This window comes from Homo sapiens, chromosome 7, assembly GCF_000001405.40.
Source record: "Homo sapiens chromosome 7, GRCh38.p14 Primary Assembly".
In the NCBI taxonomy this organism is placed as follows: domain Eukaryota; kingdom Metazoa; phylum Chordata; class Mammalia; order Primates; family Hominidae; genus Homo; species Homo sapiens.
In genome coordinates, this window is record NC_000007.14 from 141,042,181 (window position 1) to 141,054,935 (window position 12,755).

Below are 12,755 nucleotides of genomic sequence, written 5' to 3' on the forward strand. Positions count from 1 at the left end.
AAGTGTATTTTTAAAAGTACAAGTATTATTTTGAAAAAAACAAAAGTAAAGACAAAAACCCCCAGCTTATTCGGGACCTTGTAATGAAGTGCTGATGAGTGACATTATCATGGTACTTTGGCCTAAGGACTCATGAATATAAAGATCTGGGCTGACGTGGCCTACTCCCAAACCTGAACTCAAATCTTGGAACTTACAATTTGGACAGAGCAGAAAGTCACCTTCCAATACCAAAGGGAAAGGATCCAGACAAAGATGTTGATGTCATAGAGGTCATTGGAAAATACATCCCCATCGGTATCCAGAAATCCTAGCATTTAGATCACTTGGGCAGGAGGCAGTGTCTGAGAGATTAACACAGCCTAGCATAGCCAATGGACCACGTAGAAGAACTCTCGTTTAAGGGGGCACAATACTATTTGTAAATTACAGGCACACATGCTTGTGTTAGACTGGCTGCTTCTCTCAGCTTGGTCTTTGGTTGTTTACCTATCTCATGACTAGAGTGAATTTTGCAATCCTGGGAGAGGCATGTTTTCTCTTGGCTCCCAGGAGCAGCATTTTTTTTTTTTTTAAAAGGTCTTTGGAGTCAGACAGAACTATGTGTGAATCCTATCTTTCCTACCAATGACGCTTAGATATTCTTCCTTATTAATAAAACAGGTTGGTCACAGCTACTTAGCAAAGCAATTGTAAAATTAATAAGCATGATATGTGAACTACCTGGTGTGTGTTTGCCATTAGTCATTCCTTTCAGTTTAAAGTTGAACCTGCCCTCCTAGGAGTTACCAGAAACTTAGTATCTCTGGACTTGGTCAACAGAAATTTCATAAATTAGGCTGGGCGCAGTGGCTCACGCCTATAATCCCAGCACTTTGGGAGGCCGAGGTGGATGGATCACCTGAGGCCAGGAGTTCGAGACTAGCCCGGCCAACATGGGGAAATCCCGTCTCTACTAAAAATACAAAAATTAATCGGGTATGGTGGCGTGCATCTGTAATCCCAGCTACTCAGGAGGCTGAGGCAGAATAATCGCTTGAACCCAGGAGATGGAGGTTGCAGTGAGCCAAGATCGCACCACTGCACTCAAGCCTGGGTGACAGAGCGAAACTCCATCTCAAAAAAAAAAAAAAAAAAAAGGCAGGGCACGGTGGCTCATGCCTGTAATCTCAACACTGTGGGAGGCCGAGGTGGGAGGATCATTTGAGGTCAGGAGTTCGAGACCAGCCTGGCCAACATGGCGAAATCCCGTCTCTACTAAAAATACAAAAATTAGCCAGGTGTAGTGGTGCGCGCCTGTAGTCCCAGCTACTTAGGAAGCTCACTCCAGCCTGGGGAGCAGAACAAGACTCCATCTCAAAAAACAAAACAAAACAAAAAAAAAAAAAGAAAGAAAGGAAGAAGAAATTCCATAAATTAAACTCTGTTTCTGGCATTTATTACCAGTAGATCAGACTCCTGAGTAGACTCTTTTTAAAAAAGTTCTCCATATTTCTTAATTTCTGAATCCAAAAGTTTTCTCAAAGTTTTTTCCACAATTCTGCCCTGGGTGACAGGGAGTTCTTGTCCTCAGATACACACCAGAATGTTAGAAATTCTTAGTTAACGGAAACATCCTGCCTTTGAGCAGTCTAATGATAGGATTAGCATTCTGAGAATTCCACATTTGTATTTCATCATATCCTCCCTAACCCATTTTGAGTTCTTAATCGAGCCATAATGATTTGGAGAGAATGTATTATTTTCCAATAGCACCATGCGGAATCAGAGTTCCCAGGATGAAAGACAGGTTTGAAAGAGAGCTTGGAAACCCTCGAGGAACACTCATTTGCTTCCCAAATTGGACTGCAGTAAGCTTTCCCAGTGACAAGACTGACACTTCATTGGGTCTTTCTAGTATCTCTTTAGTCTCCGTGGCTTTACTCTCCCATTTCCAAAGTGATAGATAACAGTGTCAGTGGTCAGTATCCTCTGAATGGAGGCCGAATAACTTCATGTGATTTATTCATAATAATAGCATCATAATACGTACCCTAGAGGGTTAGGGAGTCAGGAGAGTGTTATGGTTAAACACAAGAGTTTCAAAGCCAGACTGTGGGTTTGAAGCCCAGCTCCACTATTTACTACCCATGTGACTTTGGACACATCACTTAATCCTTTTAAGCTTGACTTTCGTCATCTGTAAAATGGCGGTAATAATAGCACCTATTTTGTAGTGCTATTAAAATATTAAATGAGATAACCTCTGGTATTTAAGTGCTCTATAAAAATCTTTTTATGATTGTTCTTAAAAGTCTTAACAGAGATGAAAGATGAAAGTATTAAAGTGTGAAAGCCGCAGCACAGTAGGTGCTTACTAAATGCCAGAAGTTGATGATTGATTATTTTCTCTTTCTTTAACCCTTCCTTCTCCATCAAATGAGCAGTAAAAATGAAACACAAATGGCAAAGTAGTTAAAGTCCTTGACTCTGGACGCAGATTATTTGGGTTCAAACCTAAATCTGATGTTTACCAGCTATGTAATCTTAGGTAAGTTAATTAATTTCTCTGTGGCTCAGTTTCCTCATCTGTAAAGGAAGGATACTGATAGAACCTACCTCATAGGATTATTCTCAGGATTAAATGGGTTAATATTAGTAAAGTATTTAGTAACAGCCTCAACACACAGTTAGTGCTATATACATATGTAGTAAATACAAGATATTTAATTTGTAAATTTTTAGTACCGAATTCCGGGTGTGTATGTCCTCATTATGTAAATATATTACTATATGGTGAGCATAGACATCTTGAGGTTGCATAAACCATGGATTAATTGTATTGTAACAAATAGAGTTTGAAAGTTTAAGGAAGAGAAATATGAAAACCAAATTTATGTAGTTATAATAATAACTAACATTTATTCATTACTTGTTACAGATCAGTTAATGATTCAAATACTTGACGTAAATTATCTCATTTAATTACACCATAAGCCTTTGAGGTAGGAGCTATTATTATCCTTATTTTATAGATGAGGAAAATGAGGCGCAGAGAGACCATGTAACTTGCCTGAGGTCGCAGAGTAGAGCCAAGGTTTAAACTCTGAGCCTGACCTCATTGCCTTGGCATGTCCTCATCATGCTCCATGGCCTTTTTGATATGGGAAAAATGTGCTCTGCAGGTCATGGGCTTAGTCCAGTGCCCTGGACACTTTTTGAGTCATCAACCCCTTTGAGATGGGGTGGACCCTCCTCAGAAAAAAATGCACACACTTAGGTTAGTGTTTATCTTCTACATAGTCTAATGCTAGTTCAAAAATTCCAGTAGCATAAATCAAGTTTTTTTTCCCCCAAAATATATTGCACCGTTTATTCCAACATGTGTTTAAAAGCACAAAAATAGCCTGGGCAACATGGTGAGACTTTGTCTCTACAAAAACTTAGCCAGCCATGGTGGCTTGCACCTGTGGTCTCAGCTGCTCGAGAGGCTGAGGTGGGAGAATTGTTTGAGCCTGGGTGGCTGAGGCTGCAGTGAGCTGTGATTGCACCACTGCCCTCCAGCCTGGGCAACAGAGCAAGACCCTGTCTCGAAAAAAAAAAAAAAAGCACAAAAACGAATACCTAAAAAATGCAGGCACTCCTGGTTCTGCTAATTACACAAAAATAAACAGATTAAGGAATAAATTTGGATATACTGAAGGCTGGCTCAATGAAAAATAAGGTCATTAATTCAGACACAACACTGAGCTGGTGGTGTGGTTTCTCTGACAATTACATTAATGGTTAAACTTCCAAAGGCAGATAGGCAACAGATACTACAGAAGTTTTAGGATGTTTTTCTTGGGGAGTCATGGAGCAGCTATGCTTCACCACAGTTGCTGGAACACTTGTGTTGGCCAGAGTCCTGGGACTTTCCCTTGCTTTCCAAACAGGGAGAGTTTGACACTGCACCTACACTTGCTTAGGATCTGGCGTTCATCTATTGAAGCCACAGATTCCTTCGATTTTATCTTAAGCAACTGTATTAGTCTGTTTTCACACTGCTGATAAAGACATATCTGAGACTGGGCAATTTACAAAAGAAAGAGGTTTATTGGAGTTACAGTTCCATGTGGCTGGGGAGGCCTCACAATCATGGCTGAAGGCAAGGAGGAGCAAGTCACATCTTACGTGGATGGCAGCAGGCAAAGAGAGCTTGTGCAGAGAAACACCCATTTTTAAAACCATCAGATCTCGTGAGACCCATTCAGTATCACAAGAACAGCAGAGGAAAGACCCGCCTCCATAATTCAATCACCTCCCACCGGGTTGCTCCTAGGACATGTGGGAATTGTCGGAGTTACAATTCAAGATGAGATTTGGGCAGGGACACAGCAAAACCATATCAGCATCCATAGGCAACATTTACTGTTTTGATCACCTATTACACATTTGCTTTTTTTTCTGGATTAGGGCACCCTGAATTTCCTTTGGAAAACCATTTCTCCAGGACTCCATTCCTGTGGATTGTGGATTGGGTGGGGGCTCCCTTCTTTCTCCAGAGGCAGCACATGTGACCAAGGCCAGATTAATCAGGAGCAGGCCAGTGACCCAAACTGATCCAATCAATATGAATCCAGGGACTTACACCTGAGACACTGAGATTCTTCTTTGCTGGAATACAACCTGGGAGGATGAGAGCCGAGGAAGCTGCCGACTGAATGATAGTTGGAAAGAAACTGAGTCCTAACGACATCATTTGGGCTCCTGGATCAAGTCAGGCCTGAAAATCATTGATGTGGTTTGGCTCTGTGTCCCCACTCAAATGTCATGTTGAATTGTAATCCCCATTGTTGGGGTAGGGACCTGGTGGGAGGTGATTAGATCACGGGGGTGAATTTCTTCCTTGCTGTTCTCATGATAGTGAGTGAGTTCTCATGAGATTTGATGGCTTAAAAGTGTGTAGCATCTCCTCTTTGCACTCTCTCTCTCTCTTGCTCCACCATGATAAGACGTGCTTGCTTCCCCTTCACCTTCTGCCATGATCGTAAGTTTCCTGAGGCCTCCCAAGCCATGCTTCCTGTACAGCCTGTGGAACTGTGAGTCAATTAAGCCTCTTTTCTTTATAAATTACCCAGTCTCAGGTAGTTCTTTATAGCAGTGTGAGAACAGATTAATACAATCCCCGAGACTTTTCAATAACAAGCCCAAACCTTTTGCCTACAACAATTTGAGGTGAGTTTCTGTCACTTGCAACAAGAAGAGTCTTAACTAATGTTGCGTCTGACAATTGGACTATTGACCTTTGTATTATGCATGGTAGCTTGTGCCTCATTTATAAAGATGTATTTTTCTTTTAAAAACTTGTTTATGTCTTCTTTAAAAAATATAATAAACCTTTGTGATTTTTGAGAACTTTCAGAGATCTTCATGCATCCCTAATTATTAGTTACCCTTGTAGCATACATTATTTCCTAAATCAGCAATATCCACATGAGATAGCAACAAGTCAAAGACAAAAATGTTGCAGTGGGATTTCGATGCTCAGGTCAGGCACCAGAGACTTGGGGCACAGGATTCTCAAAATTAACGTTTTAGCAATTTTTTTATTGCTACATGATGTGGACTTCAGAATAAAGAGTAGACTAACTCTTCAATCTAAATCCTCAATACTAGACATTATATTTCCTTACTGTGTTAATTTGTCCTACTGCAATTTATTTCCTTTCCCTGTCATTTCATCAAGTCAGGATTCCCTCCCTCCCTCCCTCTCTCCCTCCCTCCCTCCCTTCCTTCCTTCCTTCCTTCCTGAGACAGAGTCTTGCTCTGTCACCCAGGCTGGAGTGCAGTGGCATGATCTCAGCTCACTGCAAACTCTGCCTCCCGGGCTCAAGTGATTCTTTCATCTCAGCTTCTTGAGTAGCTGGGACTACGATGTGAGCCACCACACCCAGCTACTTTTTGTATTTTTTTGGCAGAGACAAGGTTTCGCCATGTTACTCAGGCTGGCCTCAAACTCCTGGGCTCAAGCAACCCATCCGTCTTGGCCTCTCAAAGTGTTGGGATTATAGCATGAGCCACCACACCCAGCCTGGAATTTTCTTTCAAAAGCCTTCATATCTAATATCCATGCTCCTTGAGTTAGTCTGTAGCCTAACTGTATTTGGTAGCCACTAAAGCAAAATGAAAATATTGGAAATGTTCTAGCTTCTTGTTTAATTTAAAATAAAATTTAATCTTTCCCTAAAGTCCACAGTTTATTGACCTTTACATTTTAGATTTTTTGTACTTGTTGATACAGTAAAAGCAGAGACATTTAAATGAGTTTTAATTTAAGAGAAGCTGGTATTTGAGAAGTAAGATTTATGAAATGTCTATTTGAGGAGTGATTATTTGCATGTAAAATTATTTTTCACTTTAAACCAAGCTTTCTTTATATTTCCTATTAATATTCACCCTAGTGAGTTAACTATTTGACTTAATGTATAAAGTTTTACTTAAAATTCTAGAATTTCAGAGCAAGAATGGTACTTGAAGATACTTTTACATTTGAGGAAGTCAAGGAAAGAGGCAAGTAAAATATTTTATTCTGGCTGGGCACAGTGGCTCACATCTGTAATCTCAGTACTTTGGGAGGCTGAGGTGGGTGGATCACTTGAGGTCAGGAGTTTGAGACCAGCCTGGCTAACATGGCAAAACCCTGTCTGTACTAAAAATACAAAAATTAGCTGGGTGTGATAGCACATGCCTGTAATCTCAGCTACTCAGGAGGCTGAGGCAGGAGAATCCCTTGATCCCAGGAAGGGGAGGTTGCAGTGAGCTGAGACTGTGCTATTGCACTCCAGCCTGGGTGATAGAGGAAAAATCTGTCTCATATATATATATATATAATCTGCCTGTCACCGGTGTCTGCTCATGCCTCCATATAGGGGCAGAATATTACCCCACCCCATTTTCAGACTTGGCCATATCACTTGCTTGGGCCAATGGAAGAGACAGTAAGTATGCCAATTCTGAGCCAAAGCTGAGTTGAGTTGAATTCCGCCTTTTCCTCAATCACTCCACATCAGTACTTCTAAATCAGGAATTTCATCTGGCATTTGGTCATTGGTGGTGGCAAAAGTTGACTCACAAGTCCAGTTCTGTGGCACTGAAGCTGAGCCTTGAGACTGTTGCTCCAGCTTTCCAAATGATTCTGTGAGCTATTAATACTTTTTAATAAATCCCTTTTCTGCTTAAACTAACTGATGAGGATTCTTTTTTTTTTCACTTAAGACATCCTCTCTACTCCATAGACACATTTTCAGAAACACTTTTTTTGTGATGAGTTCAACTGCATGCTTTCTGAAGAAATGAGAAATAGGTATATTTAGCATGCTTTCTGAAAATATGGGAAATAGGTCTATTTAGCATTTAGTATTAAACATATGGTGTGTTTAATACTTTATATGATTTCCAACCCCCGTCCCCCCAGTAATCATGTTGGTGTAGATTAAAAAGGTATTTTACTCAGGATAGTTGAGGCTGTGAAGGACCAAGAATGCTCACACTCTTCTATAGGAATGGAAATTGCTATACACTTTTTTTGGTATGAAATTTATTAGTTCAGTTTTAAACAGCCTTAGTATTCTGCATATCATTTATTTCATCCATAATTTTTTTTTGCTTCATAGAAAGAGTTTAATAATCACAGGGCTGGCCAAGTGGAAGGATGGGAGTTAATTCTCAAATCTGTCTCCCAGATAATTTGAAAGCTAGGGTTTCTTAGGGATAGTTTGATAGACAGGGCACTAGGGAATGGAGACTGCTGATTGGTTGGGCTGGGGATGAAATCATAGGGCTGTCAAAACTGCCTTTGTGTGGTAAGTCAGTTCCTGGGTGAGGGTCATCAGTCTGGGAGATGTTATTCTACTAGAATGCAAAGTCTGAAAAATATCTCAAACCCCAGTCTTAGGTTTTACAATAGGAATGTTGTCTGTAGGGGTGATTAGAGAACTTACAAATTTTGTGCTCACCCCATGTGCCTCCTGAGCAGTAAACAATGACTAGTTATCATTTATGCCTGGGTCTTAGCAGAATTCAGGCCCCTCCCATAATTCTAACCTTGTGGGCTGTCATGAGTTTTACAAAGGCAATTCTATCCTTGAACAAGGAGGGGCTATTATCATCCTTGCTTTAAGGTTAAACTATAAATTAATTCCTCCCATAGTTAGCTTAGCATATGCCCAGGAAAGAGCAAAGACAGTTGGTTTGAGAGGTTAGAAGCAAGAGTGAGTTAGGTATGTCAGATTTCTCTCACTGCCATAATTTTTGTAAAGACAATTTCCATCCCCAATTTGAGCTTGACCGTACTTCATTCTTGAGTTGTGAGCTACAGAGATGGGAAAAGGCTAACGATTGCTTTAACTTCTTGCTGACAGGGGGGTGTAGTGGGGGTAAAAGTTGGCTTATTGGTAAGAGGAATAAAACCATTTTGCTATTGTCTGCATGTATTCATGGGTGTCTTGTGGGGATCTCGTATTAGTCAGGGTTCTCCAGAGGGGTGGAGCTAATGGATATATGTATATATGAAAGGGAGTTTATTAAGGAGAATTGACACACAGGATCACATGGTGAAGTCCCACGATAGGCCATCTGCAAGCTGAGGAGCAAGGAAGCCAGTAGTGTCTCAGTCCCAGTCCCAAAACCTCAAAAATAGGGAAGCCGACAGTGCAGCCTTCAGTCTGTGGCTGAAGGCCCAAGAACCCTTGGCAGACCACTGGTGTAAGTCCAAGAATCCAAAAACTGAAGAACCTGGAGTGTGATGTTTGAGGGCAGGAAGCATCCAGCACAGTAGAAAGATGAAAGCCAGGAGACTCAGAAAGCCAGTGTATCCCACCTTCTTCTGCCTGCTTTTTCTAGCTGTGTTGGCAGCCCATTGGATGGTTCCCACCCACCTTGAGGGTAGATCTGCCTCTCCCGGTCCACAGACTCAAATGTTAATCTCCTCTGGCAACACCCTCACAGACACACCCAGAAATAATACTTTGTATCCTTCAATCCAATCAAGTTGACATTTAATATTAACCATCACAGGTCCCAAGGCTTGCATGACAAAGATACTAGTACTCTCATCTACAGTTTTAGCACAGCACTAAAATGAACAGCAGACTGTAAGATAAGGAGTCCTAGCATAAGAACTGAAAGCCCTGGCTTCAGAAGCCCCTGTGGAACAGATCTGAAGTCTTCATCCATCAATTCTATAATGAAACTTTTTTAAGGACAAATCAGGGATGTATGAAAAGATAAAGGATGTCATAATAGCACTATTTGGAATAATATTTATAAGAAAAATGATATTTATCTATTTATTTATTTTTTGAGATGGAGTCTCGCTCTGTCGCCCAAGCTGGAGTGCAGTGGCACAATCTCAGCTCACTGCAACCTCCGCCTCCCGGGTTCAAACGATTCTCTTGCTTCAGCCTCCCAAGTAGCTGGGACTACAGGCATGCACCACCATGCCCGGCTAATTTTTGTAATTTTAGTAGAGGCGGGGTTTCACCATGTTGGCCAGGATGGTCTTGATCTCTTGACCTTGTGATCCACCCACCTCGGCCTCCCAAAGTGTTGGGATTACAGGCATGAGCCACTGCGCCTGGCTTGATAATAATATTTGTAATAAAAACTTGGCACTTAATATTCCAAGAACTGTAGGACAATTACAAAAGATGTAACATATGCAAAATGGGACTTCCAGAAGGAGAGGAGAGAAAGGAATAAAAAAATTATTTGAAGTCATAATGACTGAGAACTTTCCAAAACATCAAATCATAGATCTAGGAAGCTCAGAGAACACCAAACAGTATAAATATAAAAATATCTACATGTAGCCATATCGTATTCAAACTGCAGAAAATCAAAGACAGAGAAAAGACTTCAGATAGACTCATCATCATCATCCTTCAACAGTCACTGCATGTGATGTTGGATGATTTCCTCTTGGGGTTGGTTGGTCAACCATAATGGATATCATAGCCACAATCTTACCATGCCTTCTTCATCTCTGACTCTAAGGAGTCACCTTCCTTTCCACTGTTGCCTGGTTCTGTAGTCTGTAACAGATTCATAAGCTTTGTGCAGTGGCAGTAAGGTAGCCAATGAGGTTTATTTGAGGCGCAATTATTGCTAATTGAAACAGATTCGTAGTGCACAGAGAGTGGGATTTGTAGTTAACTACATCTAGATTTTTAAATCCCCACCCCACTGTTTACCAGTTGGATAAACTTGGGCAAACCACTCTCTGAGTGACTCTCTTCATCTGATTAAATGAAGATATTAGCAGTTCATAGGACTGTTGTGACAAAGCAGGTCACCAACAAATGGGAGCTGGATGCTCATAGTTTTTTTTTTTTTTTTGAGATAGAATCTCCCTCTGTCACCCAGGCTGGAATGCAGTGGAGGGATCTCAGCTCACTGCAGCCTCTGTCTTCCCGGTTCAAGCGATTTTCCTGCCTCAGCCGCCTGAGTAGCTGGCTCATTGCTTTTCTTCTGACTTGCCCTAACTTTCAGGTATCTGAGGCGGTTCAAGGGGTGCTGGTTTTCTTCACAAGACTGTCCTTTCACTGGTCCCAGAATCTTGCTTTCTGTTCATAATTCCTGCCTCCTCTCTGGCCTTTTCTCTTTCCTCATGTGGATGTTTGGGGTCCCATTATTTTGCTTCTTGATTCTGTTTCTGTGACACCACTAGTTCAGGAGTGGTGACTTACCCTCTCCACTGCCCCAGCTCGGTTCTGATTTGAGCTCCACCCCTGTCAGTTCCCTCCATAGCTGGCCTTGTAAACTTGGCAAAGTCACGTAAAGTCCTGTGCCATACGTGTGCTTTTTTACAGCAGGTGCCCATCAGACTGAAACGTACTGACCAGATGAGGGAGGAGATGGCCTTTGCCTCATAAATGTCATAAAAGGATGGAAAATTGAAAGCAATGAACAGAGAACCCTGGAAAAAATCATGATTTTTTTCCTCCTGAAAAGACTCTTCACTGTCAAAAAGAGTAAGGCAAAAATATATAGTTCAAAGCACTTAGAAGCAGAATTATCTCTAAGGAGAGTACTTTTAATTTTGGATGTCAATGGCTCCTTTATAGATTTTGTGCTTTTGAATGAATTTGTTCAGTAGGAATTTCGGGAAGGCTGGCTACATGGAGAATTAATCATACATATAAGCCTTTGAATGTGAGTACCTTTACTATCTTAATATGGCCATTATTTTCAGATGGTAATACATGTTCACTGTAGAAATCTAGAAAATACAAAAGCCCTTGAAGAGAAAATAACCCAGAAATAATCCTAACATTGTGGTATATTTCCTTGTCATTTATTTTTCTTTACAACATTTGGATCAGATTTTACTCATAGTTTTATATCTTACTTTTTGCACTTACCAGTATCTGTTTGAGTATTTCACTACATTCTTAAATATAACACCAACATGTTAATTTTAATAGCTGCTTGTCATTCTATTGAATGACTGTCTTATGACTTACTCAGCCAACCTCTGGTTTGTTACGAGTGAGCTGCTTTTTGCGCCTGTGTCAGCTGTGGCAGGCTGCGGCCGTGTGAGCATTCTGTAATGCAACGCCCTCGGCTGTGCCTCCGAGGCTTGCACAGGCCTTTGTTGACAAGCAATTTCTCTTCTAGAGTGGGGCGCTTCCTAGTAAGGCGGGCATCTTCAGGAAGTGGTGGCAGAATGGAAATCCCCACACTCAAGTTTCCCCTTGATAGGAATGACCTCCACTGCCAAGCTGGAGTCTGGGGTTGGCTGGGCTAATGTGGCTGTGTTGTGGTGGGCCAGGGTGTGTTTGTGGGTGTGTGCATGTGTGTGTGTGTGTGAGAGAGAGTGAGAGAGCATAGTCAATAAAGCCATCCACCACAAAATTGTCACGCACCCTCCAAGGATTGTGCAATTTTCTGTCTTTCCTGAGATGATCCCCCTTTGTCTGAGATGATGACTTCCCTTTGGCTGTGCTTTGATTTTTATTTGGACACCATGAACTGAGTGGTTTAAAAACAGATATTTGTTTTCTCACAGTTCTGGAGGCTGGAAGTCCCAGATCAAGGTGCTGGTGGGTTTAGTTTCTGCCAAGGGCTGTCTTCCTGGCCTTTGCTAAATCTCTTTGCAGATGGCCTCCTTCTCACTGTGTCCTCACGTGGCCTTTCTCCGTGCTCATGTGGAGAGAGAAAGAAAGAGAGAGATCTCTTCCTTTTCTTATGAGGTCACCAGTTCTATCAGGTCAGGGCCCCACCCCCCTAACCTTAGTTACCTCCCGAAGACCCTATCTCCAAATATAGTCACACTGGAGATTATGGCATCAACATACAAACTTCAGTGGAACACATTCATTACATAACACCTACATTATGGTCTTTTTTTTTTCCTACAGCATTTATCATCTTTTAAAATATGGCCAGGCACGGTGGCTCATGCCTGTAATCCAAGCTCTTTGAGAGGCTGAGGCAGGCAGATCATCTGAGATAAGGAGTTCAAGACCATCCTGGCCAACATGGTAAAACCCATCTCTACTCAAAATATAAAAATTAGCCGGGCATGGTGGTGTGCACCTATAATCCCAAATACTTGGGAGGCTGAGGCAGGAGAATCACTTTAACCCAGGAGGCGGAGGTGGCAGTAAGCTGAGATCACACCACTGCACCCCAGTCTGCGCAACAGAGAGAGACTCTGTCTCAAAAAAAAATTTTTTTTTTTATTAAGTTGCTTTTTACCCGTTTCCCATAGTAGAATATACGCTCCAGGAGGG

General features: G+C 41.5%; 1 long non-coding RNA gene and 1 pseudogene across 1 annotated transcript; both read left to right on the forward strand.

The window, feature by feature from the left end:
* On the forward strand, window positions 10,069-10,229 carry RNU4-74P (RNA, U4 small nuclear 74, pseudogene; annotated as a pseudogene).
* On the forward strand, window positions 10,414-12,420 carry LOC107986719 (uncharacterized). Its single transcript, XR_001744993.1, has 3 exons — window positions 10,414-10,509; window positions 10,830-10,991; window positions 12,381-12,420. It is a non-coding gene; the product is annotated as an uncharacterized LOC107986719 (long non-coding RNA).
* Window positions 12,421-12,755: the final 335 nt, after the last annotated feature.